Here is a 17,370-nt window from a genome sequence, read left to right on the forward strand (position 1 = left end):
AAAGCCTACAAAATTTACAGAAAAAATTTGTCAATCCCTACTCTAGACAGTTTGTCATTGTTATTTAGGAATCTGAATTTACAACACAAGATCCAGTAAACTAAATTACCAGGTTTTAATTCATCTAAACTAGCATGACTTAAAACTAGCATTTTGTTATAGCACAGATTCAGCTTAAATGAAACTAGAAGAAAATGTATAAATACGCAGTTCATGTCAACAAACTACTTTTTACGCTGATGTGAGAATAAATCAAAACAACCTACCTCTTTTGTCTTCAGTGGTATATCTCCAAGGTACACCTTGTACATCTTATTAATGATGGCAGGATTATTCCAGTCAATTAAGCTATGGAAGGTTTCAACACAGGTTGTTAAAATTATTTTTCCCCCTCCTTCAGTGATTTCAAAAAAATTATAGCCCCAACATTTCTTAACAAAAGAAAATGTTAGAAACACACAAATGAAATGGGCAATTGACATTGTAGAAGAGAAGGAAAAGAAAGGGACTAATTTCTATCAAAGTATGTTTTTAAACCAAAACAAATACAAATCACTTATCCCACCCAGACTCAACAGATTATTGTATCCAATGGCACAATTTGGTACCACAAGAACACTGGACACTGTTCCTACATAGATGGGTTCTCAGGCCAATGGCATGGAGCAACTCCAACAGAGCAGAGCTTTACTACACTTGTTCAAAGAGGCCTGGGGCAGGGTAGGATTCGTCTGTTTAACCATTTGGCAGTTCAAAAGTGATAAGGAAAGTGACAAAAAAATTTTTACCCATGAAATTAAAGCCACATCTAGGAAGCTTGCAAGCCACCGTATTTCTCTAACGTCACTGTGATTCCCAGCATCCCCCTCCTTCCTTATCTACCAGTACACACTTGCAGTTTTAATTCTGCAGAGTAGTTATGCTATCAGTCACTAAGACTTAATTCTATTTGGGCCCCACAATAAGGTGAATTCAGATATAAGGTGATTGGTGACAGCTGGGCATGGTGGCTCACACCTGCAATCCCAGCACTTTGGGAGGCCGAGGCGGGTGGATCACCTGAGGATAGGAGTTCAAGGCCAGCCTGGCCAGCATGGCGAAACCCCATCTCTACCAAAAATACAAAAATTAGCCGGGCACGGTGGTGTGCACCTGTAATCACAGCTACTCAGGAGGCTGAGGCACGAGAATCACTTGAATCCGAGAGGGGGAGATTGCAGTGAGCCGAGATTGTGCCACTGCACTCCAGCCTGTGTGACAGAGCTAGACTCTGTCTCAGAAAAAAAAAAAAAAAAAAGATGATTGGTGATTCGTTCCCACCCTCTGCAGCAGATCCCACCCACTCATTTCATAAACCTAGCAATAATGTAATCCTTCCTTTCATTTGACTGGTTTACCATACTATATTCTCTCTGCCCTTTGACATTGGTTCTGCTTTCAAGCTATCCTGTGTTTGTGCAAACACAACAGATGAAGCTACTTTAACTGCTTTTTGGATTTATCTTCTTTCATAGTTTATAAATATGCTTCTTCTTAGAATAGCCACAATTCCGCTATCCTCAGAGGCATTCTACAATTCTGTTTTAGATATGATTCACCTACATCTTTCCTCAGCTGATTGCTACTAACTAATCCTCAAGCTCCGCCGTTGCTTTTCTTTCATAATACTTGTGGTTTAGAGATTTCAGACAAAACAAACACTTTAGTAAAACAAACTAAAAACTTAGTAGTAATTAACTTCATTCATATTTTGGCAAATATATAATATTCCATAAAGATACATACAGTAATTTACTTAACTATATCCCCATTATGGAAAACTGAATTTGTTTTCATATTTTAACAATGATAGAAAATGATATAATGAACAAATCTATAAAATTTTTCTAAATCTCTTTCTGCTTTTGAATAATTTCCTTAGGATAAATTCCCAGAATATTGAGATAAAAGGATAGAAATATCTTTATGATTCATTACTTATTGCAAACTGCTTTCCAAAACTTCATTTCAATTTATAATGCCAATCAACAGGGTATAAAAATAGCAGTTTTGGCCAGGCGTGGTGGCTCACGCCTGTAATCCCAGCACTTTGGGAGGCCAAGCTGCGTGGATCACCTGAGCTCAGGAGTTCGAGAGCAGCCTGGGCAACATGGTGAAATCCCATTTCTACCAAAAATACAAAAATTAGGCAGGCATGGTGGCCAGCACCTGTAGTCCCAGCTACTTGGGAGGCTGAGGCATGAGAATCGCTTGAACCTGGTAGGTGGAGGTTGCAGTGAGCTGAGATCGTGCCACTGCACTCCTGCCTGGGCAACAGAGAGAGACCCTGTCTCAAAAAATAAATATATAAATAAAAATAAAAATCGCAGTTTCAATAGAAACGTAAATGGGTTTAACCACTGCTACTGGTATCCCATTCATTTATTTTTCATTGACTTCATTCATTTATTTTTCATTGACTTTATTTCTTATACAGAATATTTTCTATAAGTCTATTTCCTATCTGTATCTCCTCGTGTGTGAATTAGAATCTATTCAGCAACTCTTTTCATGAATGTAATTTTCACTGTATTAACCATAATACATACATAGTCTTTATTAAAAGTAATCTCGAATGGTTTGAGACACAGAAAAAAATAAAAATTAGTTTCTTGGAACTGACACTTTTCTTAACATCAATTCTTTAAGTTCATCTACCTAGCCAAAAGTCTCATTGATTGTGATGACATTCCTAACCTATTGCAGCTATAAACAGCATCTCCACACAGATTTTCTTCTCTGTCTTACACAGAATTCAACTCTTTAGCAAACTTGATTACAAACTAGGTATATTTAATAATCTCCTCTAAGTTGAATGCCTCATTACAAAAAATCCTTAAACAAAAAATGTGTCAAGTAAGTTTTTAGAAATGTAGTCCTTTCAATCTTGAAAGTTTACAGGGAAGTAGTTACCTCTGTTTGCTTTTCAATTCCAGGTCTGCTGCCGTTGCCACACTGTGGCGTGTATCACTAGAGGCAATCACCAAGTGGAGAACAGCTTCAAGTTCAGGCACCTGTTCAGCTTCTATGAATTTCACGATTCCCAATTTGCACTGTAGATAAATGAAGGGAAGGAGAAAGAACAGTCAGGGGAGCAAAGGACACCCACTGAAAGTACTGCTTAACATATCAGTGTGGTCACAAGCCAAAGATGAGCAGTAACAACAGTAGCAGCTCCTACTTAGGCTTACAATGTGCCGGGGACTGTACTAAAGCACATATATTCATAATTTCACTTAATCCTCACAATAATAAATCAATCATTATACCCATTTTTTAGCTAAAAATACCGAGGCAAGGCTTAAAAGATTAAGACACTGGTAAACGACGATGGCAGGATTCAAACCCAAGCCTCTCTGACTCCAAAATTATTATGATACACAGCCTCCCTAGTGAGGTTACACAGCCTCTCTAGAGTGATGAAGTCTTGAAGTCCAAATTTGGGGCCTCCAGATAAGAGGGTGGTACACTAGGAATATAGTGCTCCATGGATTTTTCTGACAGTTCAAAAAAGAACTAAACAACTCACATTCCATGGAGTTTCACTCTATTGCTTACATACAAAGGATATGACTTCAAATGTTAGCTACTCAATGCAAGTGAAATTCTAATCAAACAGTTTTCAATTTAATTGACTGGCTGAAATGAAACAGACTAGAGAGATTCTGCTTAGAACTTCATGCAATGTGAAGATGCTATGAATTTCACTACAAATGACTCTATTTAGGATAAATACACCTGAAAAAATAAAGTTTCATTTTCATCTTAAAAAATCAGTCACATAACAGTTTTTACATATACTAGGATTAATAAAGTTTACAATTATTAAATGAGAAAAAAATGCAACTTAAAAAAGCATAACAGATCAAAAAAGGGCCTGCCTTCCCTCCCCTGCTCGATACAACTTACTTTTAACAACAGCTACAACAGAAAAGATTCAAACATTTGTACAGCCACAAAAAGGACACATGGAAGTCAAGTACACAAAGATATAAACTAAACAAAAAATGTGTAAAGAAAACTGAAAATGATACAGATGTCCATCAATAGGAGACTGGTTAAAACATATCACATATAATTGTAAACAAACATTAAAAAGAATTACTTTTTTAAAAATCCAAAATATTATTCAACATAAAAAGCAAACTACAAATAATGTATTACATGACAAGTAGAAATGTATTGTTTAAAACGGTGAACACACACACATGCACAGAGCAAAACTGTAGACAGATGACAAACTAGTGTGACAGGATTCCAGTTAACTTTTTTTTTTTTTTTTTTTTTTGAGACAGAGTCTCCCTCTGTCGCCCAGGCTGGAGTGCAGTGGTGCAATCTTGGCTCACTGCAACCTCTGCCTCCTGGGTTCAAGCAATTCTCGTGCCTCAGCCTCCCCAGCAGCTGGGGCTACAGGCACACACACCGCCATGCCCGGCTAATTTTTGTTTTTGTTTTCTTAGTAGAGATGGGGTTTTGCCATGTTGGTCAGGCTAGCCTCGAACTCCTGACCTCAAGCGATCTGCCCAACATGGCCTCCCAAAGTGCTGGGATTACAGGCATGAGCCACCACATCTGGCTTTTTTTTTTTTTTTTTTTTTACACAGAGTCTTGCTCTATCGCCCAGGATGGAGTGTCATGGCACAATGTCAGCTCACGGCAACCCCCACCTCCTGGGTTCAAGTGATTTTCATGCCTCAGCTTCCCAAGTAGCTAGGGTTACAGGCATGCACCACCACGCCCAGCTAATTTTTCTATTTTTAATAGAGACGGGGTCTCACTCTGTTGCTCAGGCTGGTCTCGAACTCCTGACCTCAAGTGATCCACCCACCTCAGCCTCCCAAAGGGCTGGGATTACAGGCCCGAGCCACGACACCCAGCCCCTTAATTTTTAATTTCTCTACTATTCTTAACTACTTGAATATTTACATTGTTTATAATTGGAAAAAACATGTTTTCCTTGGAAGAAAAAGTATAAAACAAAGAGATATTTTAAAATTAGAGGAAAATAGCTTTCATCCCTGAAACTAAACTGTTCGTTTCAGCACTAGATTATGAAACTGACAAAACACATACAGAGGCATATTGGCAAATAATGACCAATTTAAGATTGTAATTGAACAATAACAATTTTTCTCCAGCATTTGTAGCTTTAACCCTTAGATAATCCTAGGTTCAAAGCCTGGTACTAAAAGTGAGACCCTGGTAAATCTCAAAACCTCCATGCCTTTCAGAAAATGGAACTAACAATTTCTATACCTTACTGGGTTGCTCCGAGGGTTAAATGAGATATTGTATTCAAAGTACCCGGTACGGTGCCTGTCACATAGATTGCACTCAATAAAGAGTAGCTTCAGTAAATCTTTTTTTTTTTTTTTTTTGAGATGGAGTCTTGCTCTGTCGCCCAGGCTGGAGTGCAGTGGCACGATCTCGGCGCACTGCAAGCTCTGCCTCCTGGGTTCACGCCATTCTCCCACCTCAGCCTCCTGAATAGCTGGGACTACAGGCGCCCGCCACCACGCCCAGCTAATTTTTTTTTTTTTTTTTTTTTTAAGAAGAAACAGGGTTTCACCATGTTAGCCAGGATGGTCTCGATCTCCTGACCTCATGATCCGCCCACTTTGGCCTCCCAAAGTGCTGGGATTACAGGCATTAGCCACTGCGCCCGGCCTCTGTTAATTCTTTACCTTTCTTACTTACATAATAGTTTAAGGAGGAAAAAAAAAAAAGATCCATAAAACATGAAGAAGGAAATCAAATCAATTATATCCCTCACTCAATAAAACATTCTATAAATTTGTGAATGGCAAGAATGCCCCACTTGCCTCTTTTCCCCTCTCCTGGGAATACTGTTTTAATCAATGGTCACTTACATTTCCCAAAAAAAAAGGGATCAAATCATTTAGACTGCCATGGAGAAATAAAGGAAGGATTAGAAGACTAACCCATGTTGCTTGAATTCCAAAATAATTACATACTGATCTCATCTGTTCTTCCCTGAAGTGCCTGATGACACAGACACAGTAAGGCACCTTCTCTGTAGAGCACCAGTCATTTTTAAAAGCTGCTCAGAGAACATCTGTGTCCTGTTTAAATCCAGAATAAAATCCTTAATGCCAATTTTTAAATTCCCAAGAAGTAATATAACAGGGAGTCATGCTTTTCCCCACATTGTCACCTGTGAAGTGCTGGGGCTCCTCACTTTACATAAAACGTACAGCCCTTAAAAGTTGAATAATGTAAGAAAAATTGTATTTTAACTGCACCATAAAAGCTAGATGAAAATTAAACCTATAATTAAAAAATTAAAATTACAAAAGTTAAAAAATAAAAAAAAATAAAATGACAAAAGTTAAACATATTCAATTTATAAGTGAGTTGTGCTTTATACTTGACATATGTAAGCAGTATTAGAAAAACTAAACAGTATGTCCCACTCCTCCCTGCCCCTAGGGCTTAATAAATAACTAGCATGAAAAGAACACATTACATCAACTGCTTCTTTCAAACATATTTCACTGGAGAGCCTGAATATACTAGAATTATGTTTTATACGGTTCATGAACTTCATAGGGGAAAGTGTCCACAATCAACTACTATTATGAGCAAGCCTTGTGTGATACCTGTTCCAATTGTTCAGGTGTCCATGGGTTATCACCAATAACTCGTTTGGCTGCATAAAAGCTCATTCCCGGAGGAGGCTGTGGGATTCCAGAACCTCCGCCACTGTTTGAAGAAGAACCCTGTGCTGAAGATGAATTTTGGCGACTCTGGGATTCATTTAACACGTAACTGGAAAGGAAATAACACTTTAACCCTCTATAAATACAAAAGCATTTACAACTATATATGTATACAAAACATTCAATCATATACTGTCCTCCTACTGTATTTTACTAGAAGAATGAACACTTGAAATTAAAATTTCATCATAAAAAAAATTTTAAGGTATCTAAAAAAGATGTATCTTCAGCAAATTAACCAGAGAGCACGTCATTTAACTTGGTTACAAATGAACTACAACCATTACCAACAATGAATATAAATATTTTCATCACTCTCAATCTATAAATGATTGCTCTAATGGCTACTCCAGAATCACATTTTGAGTTTTGAGCTGCCAAATATGAGGAAAAGTTTGTTGACAAAGGGGACTGGGAGGAGCTATTGCACTATACCCAAAGGAGAGTATTTTTACAGTCATTCTCATTTCTACGAAGTTGTAATTCACCTTCAATCCTCCCTGAACTGAGGTCTTTATCCCTACATTAGAAAATCCACTGAAACCTCCAAACGGCCACATAAGCACATAAGCACGTACCACATAAGCACATAAAGTCCCTAAAATGAAAAAACTCAAAAGGGCCCAAAGAAGAAAAGTTACACAAGAACTGACTTTTCCCATTACATGTTCAAAGCCCTTTGCACTGCCTTGGTTAATTTATCATCCCTATTTCATTTTAGCTTCTATAGAGGAGAAATAAGACCTCTAAGAAATTCATTTTGATCCAATTAAACTGGTATTACTCATCTACAAAATGAAGTTTTTGATATAAATATTAATTCAAATCTCTTAAAACTAAAGATCTATGATGATAAATTCCATTATCATATTGGATATTATAATAAAATATCCACTATAATAAAAGTTCAAGAAAACACTTAGAACCTGATAGGATAGTAAGTTATTCCACATTACTTACATGTCATATTCATTCAATTCCTAAATTTATCTATTTTTTAAAAATCTCTTAAGGAATCGCTTTAATGTTATTATATAAATGACCCAAGTTCTCATTAGTAAGAAAAATGTGAGGAATCACTGGCTTGGTTACATCATGTTCCTAAGGTAAATCTGAATTTCAAGGTTTATCTACCAAAGCCATCATCACCTGTCATTCTGGCTGCCTCCTGATTTAACAAATATAAAAAGAAGTTTTTTTATTTCTAAGTTATAGCAAGACTGGTGGCATTAAGTAAATCAATCAATAAGTTAATACATCTTAATACTGCATAAAACACCCTAAGGCTGGGTGTGGTGGCTCAGGCCTATAATCCCAGCATTTTGGGAAGCCAAGGTGGGAGGATCGCTTGAGTCCAGGAGTTTGGTGACCCCCTATCTCTACAAAAAATACAAAAAAATTAGCTGGGTGTGGTGGTGCACGCCTGTAGTCCCAGCTACTCAGAAGGCTGAGGTGAGAGGACTGCTTGAACCCAGGAGGTCAAGGCTGCATTGAGTTACCACTGCACAGTAGCCTGGGCGACAGACTGAGACCCTATCTCAAACAAACATCATCCTAAACACAAGACAGAGGAATATAAGGAGATGTAAGATCGAGTCTCTGCCATCTGGAGTAAGCTGAGACAGTAACAACCTAACACATGTAATAGCATCTGCCATTCTATCAGATGCAAAGAAACTGCTGAGAAATAAGAAATGATATAACAGGTGGTGACAGTGAACATGGAGTGACTGAAGGCCCAGAAAATTGGGCTTCCAAACAAGAGGGGCAGGAGGAGAACAAATTTGTTCATCACACCGCATGAACTCTCATTTCTGGATTGAGAAACAAATGATATGGAGCCCCACATGCCTAGCTTACCATGTACACATACTTTTGTGATCAGGAAAGAAAGAAGATGAAAACAGCATTTTGGAAAAATTTATCTGGCAGATGGACAAAATAAGTAGACCAGAAGTAGATCACAATCTGGGCTCCATGCCAGAGACCAAAGCTACATGAAATAGGTCTCGACTACAAGGGGCTCACCATCTACTAGGGGAGATGGAAATGTCTACAATGCAGCAAAAACACACAGTGGCCATATAGGCGGGTGTTTTGTGTTTTTATGACACAGAAAATAGTGCAGTTATATCTGTCTAAGGCAAGAAATTTGTCAGAGACAAACGGAGTTGACCTTTAAGCCAGTTTGGGATGCTTTTTTCTTTTTTCCTTTTTTTTTGTTTTTGAGACAGGGTATTTGTTCTGTCACCAGGTTGGAGTGCAGTGGCATGATCATAGCTCACTACAGCCTCAACCTCCCAGGCTCAATCAATACTCCAGCCTCAGCCTCCCAAGTAGCTGGGACTATAGGTGCATGCCATGAGGGCTGACTAATTTTTGTATTTTTTGTAGAAATAGGATTTTGCCATGTTGCCCAGGCTGGTCTCAAACTTCTGGGCTCAAGGGATCTGTTCGGCCCCCCCTTCCCAAAGTGCTGAGATTACAGGTGGGAGCCACTGCACCTGGCCAGGATGCTGTTTTTCAAAGTGTCTTTTTGTTGTTTTCTTTCTTTCTTTTTTGAAGAAGCATTCTAGGCAGACAGAAAGGCGTTCTCTTAAAAATAAACAGCAAGGACACATAAGCGTGCATGAAATGCATGAGTGTATTAATGACTGGATATGAGAAACCAAGGATTTTAAGGTGTTGCCTGATGAGATCTGTGTTTTGCAAATCGGGAAAAGCATAGAGAGGGGGTGTAGAGAGATTTGAAGAAGTGGAGCCGCTGGGAAAGAAATTATGACAAGAGTTGAAAAGAGGCAAAACTAGATGATAGCAGTGGGAAGAGTTCCAGACACAGCAAGGAGAAGGAAGGAGGCATTATGCAAATGATATTGCAGCAACAAAGAAGAGAAAAGCTGGAGACAATTTATCATTGTATGGCTAGGTGGCAAAGAGAACCATCATAGCATTAATAGTAAATTTAAAAGAGAAACTTTTTTTTTTTTGAGAGAGAGTCTCGCTCTGTTACCCAGGCTGGTCTGAAACTCCTAGCCCCCAGTAATCGTCCCACCTTGGCCTAACAGGAACTATTTTTATGGGGAAAGACTGATTTCATCTTAGGCAGGTAGAGTCTAAAATCACAATGGCAACTCAGCATTTGTAAAGCCGATAAGCAGTGGAGCTGAAGTTTAGAAGAAAAAAATCTTTGTAAACGTAAATGGATGTTGAGATGCATTCATTTACTAGTGAGAGTTTAATCATTTAAAATAGTACTTAACTCCCCGTAGTAAAAGCAGTCAAGAACAAGGTTGCTTTTATTTTTTAACTCACCCATAAGGCATCAGAAGGACATCTAGCATGAAGTCCAAAAGCAGCTGCACAGTCTTTGGTTTCTCAGCAAGATTAAATGGAGAAGCTGATTTTGATGATTCAACAGGGTATTTCATGTGAAAAAGGGTTGGTATTAAAAGATGCATTAAGCTGAAAAAACAATTACATTTATTGCAACTACTTAAAAAATGAGATTTTTATACATGCAAAACACAGACAAAACAAAAATCACGTAACAAAAACTGGCAGTTTTAAGCAAGAGACATTCCTTTTCAACACTACTAATTTACAAAGTCCTAATCTAGGGACTGGCCTAGAATTCTTTTTTATTGAAAGCTCAGTATATTGAGTGATGATTAGCATTTAGCCAATCTGGCTCATGACTAAAATTACCTGAAAAAAATACATCAAATGGGCTCAGTGTTAATATCTGAAGTTTCCACAAGAGATTTTATATGAAACCTTAAGTAAAGTTCAACTTACTTGTCTTTTCAAAAAGAATTATTTTCCAGGCTGGGCGCGGTGGCTCATGCCTGTAATCCCAGTACTTTGGGAGGCCGAGGCGGGCAGATGACGAGGTCAGGAGATCGAGACCATGGTGAAACCCCGTCTCTACTAAAAATACAAAAAATCAGCCAGGCGCGGTGGCGGGCACCTGTAGTCCTAGCTACTTGGCAGGCTGAGGCAGGAGAATGGAGTGAACCCGGGAGGCGGAGCTTGCAGTGAGCCGAGATCAAGCCACTGCACTCCAACCTGGGCAACAGAGTGAGACTCCATCTCAAAAAACAAAAATAAAAATAAAAAAATAAAAAATAAAAAATAAAAATTAAAAAAAAAAAGAATTATTTTCGGTCAGGCACAGTGGCTCACACCTGTAACCCCAGCACTTTGGGAGGCCAAGGTGGGCAGATCATCTGAGGTCAGGAGTTCAAGACCAGCCTGGCCAACATGGTAAAACCCCATCTCTTCTAAAAATACAAAAAGTTTGCCGGCCATGGTAGCAGGCATCTGTAATCTCAGCTACTCAGGAGGCTAAGGCAGGAGAAACACTTCAGCTCGGGAGGCAGAGGTTGCAGTGAGCCAAGATTGCGCCATTGCACTCCAGCCTCGGCAACAGAGTGAGACTCTGTCTCAAAAAAAAAAATTATTTTCCACAACTAAAGTTATTCTAAAAATTAAAAATCAATCATATTAATATTTTGAATACAACATTAAAATTTCCACTGCATGAATTTAAGTAACAGGTCTCAGTAATTCCTTTCATTAACACCTTTTGATACTCTTAAAACATCTGACAACAATTACAAACAGTACTTGTAATGTCTATTAATTTTACTTGTAAACTTCTTCTGTATTACAGTATTTTTTAAAAAATGAATATGCTCTAAAAGGTGAACTGAAAACATGATCTAACTCCATCTCTTTCCTCTACATTTCTGCACTCTTCATCATGATTCTCACTATGACAGAGCTAGAACAAAGAACTTTTGCCTAAGCCTAGAAACAAATGATGTTATCTAAAACCCTTTTCACCGCACCACTTCCCAAAATAATACAAACGAGTGCTCTGTTCCTTAGGAAAACCACTGTGAAACTTTATATCTTCCAAGATAGAATTGTTTTGATGCAAAGGATTTTTAATTCTAATTTTTGCAATCACATAAAATTAACTGCTTCAAGATAACTAGCCAAAAAAATGCACAGACTTAGATAAATGTTAGTTCTGCACATTTTTCAATGTTCACATCAAGAAATTTTATGATAGTATTAACAAAACGGTAACTTTGAGGTACCACGGAAAATTCTATTATTTGTCAGCTAAAACAGCTCAAGACCTCCCATTTGCTCAAGTAAAACCAAATATGTGAATTAATATTTGAAAGGCAGTTGTTGACTCCTGTAGGAGGGAAATTAGTTAATTGAGGAAATCATACCTATCCTGCTGTGGCTGAGGCTTCCCTTCCATGGCAGTAAGAAGCGTAGGGGCCAGTTCACATTGTTTTTCCACTGGTAGGCGAGGATAGCCCATTTTAACATAAATTATAGTAAAATTCTAATGCAATAAGAGAAAAGCAAGTGAGTGTGAAGGAAATACTCTATGATTTCAATGAAAATATATGATTGATAACTTAGAGAGTTATGGTTACAACAAAGACATTGTAAACGTGACTCATCCTCCCTCCACGTTTATTGCACCTTTACCAACTACTGTATCTCAGAGGAAAAATTCCAGTCCAACTTAATCAAAATGCTTGCTTTAAAGTAGGCCTAATGTGAGGTAGCATGGACTAATCTAAAGCATTCATATATGCAATTTCTTATCATGAAGAAGAAAGAAATAATCAACCTATTTACACCTACACACTACATATTAGCACCAGATCTCCCAGTCTGTTGCATTAATCCTTACAAGCTAGGAGGAGATCAGGTGTTGACAAATCCTAGGCTGCCATTTCCCACTGGTCAAATGACTAAAACAAACTTAGTATACTGCAGCACTCTGTGGTTCCTCACTCCAGTAACTCACCAATGCATGATGAACCAAAGGAAACTGAGTACTGTGTGTTTCTGCAAGGTCAAGCATCCCAAATTTGAAAATCTGAAATTCGAAATACTACAAAATCTGAAACTTTATGAGTGCCAACAAGACACACAAAGGAAATGCTCCTTGGGGCATTGCAGATTTTGGATTTGGGATGCTAAATCAGGTAAGTATAACGTAAATATTCCAAAATCCAAAACATTTTTGATCCCAAGCAATTCAGATAAGGGATACTCAACCTGTATCACTATAATCTGTGTGAATACTGGATTTTAAGCAAACCCATAAATACGTATCTGGATTTACAGATAAGATTAAGATTTGCTTTTCTGAAGCTTTTTCATTTTTTTCCCCCAAGACAGAGTCTCGCTCTGTCACCCAGGCTGGAGTGCAATGGCACAATCTCAGCTCACTGCAACCTCCACCTCTGAGGTTCAAGTGATTCCCCTGCCTCAGTCTCCCAAGTAGCTGGGACTACAGGCACGCGCCACCACGCCCAGCTAATTTTTGTATTTTTAGTAGAGATGGGGTTTCACTATGATGGCCAGGCTGGTCTTGAACTCCTGACCTCATGATCAGCTGGCCTCAACCTCCCAAAGTGCTGGGATTACAGGTATGAGCCGACGTGCCTGGCCTCTGAAGAATTCTTTACTAAAGTAAATGGGCTTCATAAGATTACTTCTTCAAATAAATTATATTTGGCATTTTTATTGGCACACAGTGTTCCTATTTGCTTAAAGAAAGGAAATGTATAATTGAGCCAAATATCCAGAACAGACATGGACAAAATGACGTCTGGACCAATAACAGGCTCCAAAAGGTTTGTGACTCCAGATGTTAGGTAAGATTCAATCGATTCTGCCTCAGTGCTAGGAACTACAAGGACCAGGAAAAAAAACATCACCTGCCATCACACAGCATCAACATATTTTACATTTAATTTTTATGAAGACAACACTTTAAAAGGAATGTTTCTTACCAGACTCAGATTTACTCCACTTTATAAAAAAGATCTTTCTGAATATACACATCAAAAACACAAAAGATTTTTTTAAGTTCACTTTCATGTATCTTCTTGCCATTTTACTAATTTTTTCTTCCATTAGGCTTTATTCGTGCCCAAGCCGTATAACATTTCCCTCTATTCAGACCCATTTCATACAGTCTCCTACCAAAAATCAAATCATTCTTTTATATAACAACATACCTGACAAGTCATTTCACCAACATTCCTTTGCCCAAAGTAAATAGCCATTCATTACCCTGCTACTGTAAAGCAGCATTTCCTCTGGATTGGTACTCAGTGGAAAAACAGTGTGTCATTTAAAAAAAAAAAAAACTCATGTTTCATTTAGAAGTGGTCTAAGGTGAAATTCTAAACTTGCCAATATGTTGATGACATCTAATAAATGTTAGGAAAGAAAATTTGCTGTAAGTCAGAAAATATTCCAATACAACACTCACTGTGACAAAGGAAACTGCAGCAGGGTCCTGGTACTGAACCAACAGTGTCTCTACTGGAAGTTGTATTTTGGGGCGGCTTTTTATACGTTTATTCAGATGGACCAGCAGTTCCATTACCTAAAATACAGAGAGATGGGAACTAAAGTTATTGATCATATCTTAAAAACCACTCATCTTAAAATTCATTTATCAGATGTTATCTATGTTAGTGAATAGTAGCTACTTTGTTCTTTTAAAGGGTATAAATTTTACATCCCAGAAAGGGAGTATACACTACATGAATCTTGTTCAAAAATACTGTCTCCCAAAAATCTATGCACTAGTGAATTTCTCTTTTTCTTTTTATTTCCCAAGACGGAGTCTTGCTCTGTCGTGCAGGCTGGAGTGCATTGACACAATCTTGGCTCACTGCAACCTCCGCCTCCCCGATTCAAGCAATTCTTCTGCCTCAGCCTCCCAAATAGCTGGGATTACAGGCGCGTGCCAGCATGCCCGGCTAATTTTTGTATTTTTTCACCATGTTGGCCAGGCTGGTCTCGAACTCCTGACTTCATGATCTGCCCACCTCTGCCTCCCAAAGTGCTGGGATTACAGGCGTAAGCCACTGCTCCTGGCTTTTTTTTTTTTTTTTTTTTTGACATGGAGTCTCGCTCTGTTGCCCAGGCTAGAGTGTAGTGGTGCGATCTCAGCTCACCGCAACTTCTGCCTTCTGAGTTCAAGCAATCCCCCTGCCTCAGCCTCCCGAGTAGCTGGGATTACAGGTACCCGCCATCACGCCTGGCTAATTTTTGTATTCTAGTAAAGATGGAGTTTCATCATGTTGTCCAGGCTGGTCTCAAACTCCTGATCTCAAGCAATCCGCCCACCTCGGCCTCCCAAAGTGTTGGGATTACAGGCGTGAGCCACCGCGCCTGGCCAAGTGAATTTATTTTTACAATGTCCTTTAGTTAAAGTTGAGATCCAAGTTGGGCCTAGACTGAAGCATGTCCCTCAAGAAGAACAGATTATTGCAACACACCATGAATACTATGAAAAGAGAGACATACAAGATACAGTGGGTTTCCAGAAGACAAAAGTATCTGCTATATCAAGAAAGACTTCACGGAGGAAGTGACAGGAACACTGAGTCCTTAAGATTTAATGAGTTCCAAGCAGAGTATCAGTTATAAGAAGGTATGGGGCACACTGCATCTGACTGAAGCCCAGAACGATAAGAGTTCATAAAAGCAAGGTCTGGATTACAAAAGGATTCTGGCAAAATACTGAGGCATTTTTATTTTTGTCTGGGAGTTGTTTTTTGTTTGTTTGTTTTTATTATACTTTCAGTTTTAGGGTACATGTGCACAATGTGCAGGTTTTTACATAGGTATACACGTGCCATGTTGGTTTGCTGCACCCAACAATTCATCATCTACATTAGGTATTTCTCCTAATGGTATCCCTACCCCAGGCCCCACCCCCCACAACAGGCCCCAGTGTGAGATGTTCCCTGCCCTGTGTCCACGTGTTCTCACTGTTCAACTCCCACCTATGAGTGAGAAGATGTGGTGTTTGGTTTTCTGTCTTTGTGATAGTTTGCTTAGAATGATGGTTTCCAGCTTCATCCATGTCCCTGCAAAGGACATGAACTCATCCTTTTTTATGGCTGCATAGTAGTCCATGGTGTATATGTGCCACATTTTCTTAATCCAGTCTATCACTGATGGACATTTGGGTTGGTTCCAAGTCTTTGCTATTGTGAATAGTCTGAGGCATTTTTATTGTATTCTGAATATCATCTGATACTATCAAATAATTTGTAAGAAATAACAAGCTTCCTCTCCTTTAAGTGGGAAAAGAGAGCAAAATAGGAATTGACAAGTCAACAGTTTGCATGGATAGAAAGGGATGTACAGAGGCTCATATCAAATGGCCTCAATTATACTACAATAAAAAGATTTCTGCCAACAGAAAAGAAATCGAGCATTGAGAAATAAGATTTTTAGAAGGCCTTGCCTAAGAAAGACTCAAGAATTTAAGATAAATATTCTGCAGGGCCAGGTTTACACTATTCTCCCTCATTTCTGAAATTCGTGCTCTAGCCTCAAAGCATGCATAAAGAAAGCTGTAGAGATGTTTGACACCGACAGCAAAAAATTCCAAGAGATCTACAGCAATAATGAAATAGGTGAATTATGTTTAAGAATAATAACAACTCTGTAATCAATGTTTGTTGAATGAATGATAAATAGTAATATTAAAATAGCTAATATTTATCACAGTTTCTATGCACTCTTCCCCCAGGCATTCCTTATCTAATACGATTCTCACAACAACCAGTGAGGTGGTGTCATTCCCATTTTACAGATGAGGAAGCAGAAGCCTCAAGTAACTTGTCCAAGGATACTGGGCCAGCAAATAGCAAAGTCAAAATATGACTCCAGAGCCCATTTTTTTTAACCTTTTCAAACACTGATATTTGAACTCACATCAGCGAAAGTGTTTGTCAGTGAGACATGATACCTTCCAAGAAGCTAGAAACTTGCATTGTCATCCATACTTCATCCGAGCTTCCTACCTGTCCTGGATCTGTGATACCGCTAGGCGACAAGAGAAAACAATCAGGAGGAACTAGTCTAAAGGAAAGAGCCCTCTTCTGACATTGTAATCTAGGCTGATTCCTAGAGGGACTCTATAGAAAATTATTATCGATGGAGACAGAGAATCTTGCCCACAATTGCATGCTTTTTTTTAATAATAAATTTATTTTGATTTTTTTTTTTTCCGAGACAGGGTCTCACTCTGTCACTCAGGGTGGAGTTCAGTGGCATTATCATAGCCAACTGCAGCCTCGAACTCCTAGTCTCAAGCAATCTTCCTATCTCAGTCACTGCAGTAGCTGGGACTATAAGCACATGCTACCATGCATGGTTTTTTTCTTTCTTTTTGGCATAAATGAGATCTTGCTATGTTGCCTAGGCTGGTCTCAAAAGATCTTCCAACCTCAGCCTCCCAGAGTGCTGAGATTACAGGCATGAGCTACTACTGCACTCGGCCTATTTTGAATTTTAAATGGATTAATTACTTAATTTTCTAGTAGCATTATTGTCATGTTAAATATCGGCGAATTTCCTAAATATGGTTATATCTTGTCTGGAATCCTCCATAAACCAAGAAAGATTTAAAAATAACTTGTGGAATTCAGATAACATTTCAAAGGCTACTGTAAAGATTAAATGAAAAGATAAGTCAAAGAGTTTAGCACAATGCTTAATATATAACAGGCTATTTTAG

General features: G+C 38.5%; 1 protein-coding gene across 10 annotated transcripts in view; it reads right to left on the reverse strand.

Annotated features, from left to right (window-relative positions):
* Positions 1-17,370, reverse strand: part of ECPAS (Ecm29 proteasome adaptor and scaffold) — a 123,699-nt gene that overhangs the window by 69,596 nt on the left and 36,733 nt on the right. For all 10 annotated transcript variants that reach the window (NM_001363756.2, NM_001364929.1, XM_047423107.1 and 7 more), the window contains 6 exons: positions 14,098-14,214; positions 12,026-12,144; positions 10,092-10,241; positions 6,660-6,828; positions 2,953-3,092; positions 267-348 (listed from right to left, as the gene is read on the reverse strand). In NM_001363756.2, coding sequence (NP_001350685.1) covers positions 267-348; positions 2,953-3,092; positions 6,660-6,828; positions 10,092-10,241; positions 12,026-12,144; positions 14,098-14,214 — 777 coding nt within the window. The remainder of the gene's footprint in view (positions 1-266; positions 349-2,952; positions 3,093-6,659; positions 6,829-10,091; positions 10,242-12,025; positions 12,145-14,097; positions 14,215-17,370) is intronic.

The sequence above is a fragment of the Homo sapiens genome, chromosome 9 (genome assembly GCF_000001405.40).
Source record: "Homo sapiens chromosome 9, GRCh38.p14 Primary Assembly".
NCBI classification, from domain to species: Eukaryota; Metazoa; Chordata; class Mammalia; order Primates; family Hominidae; genus Homo; species Homo sapiens.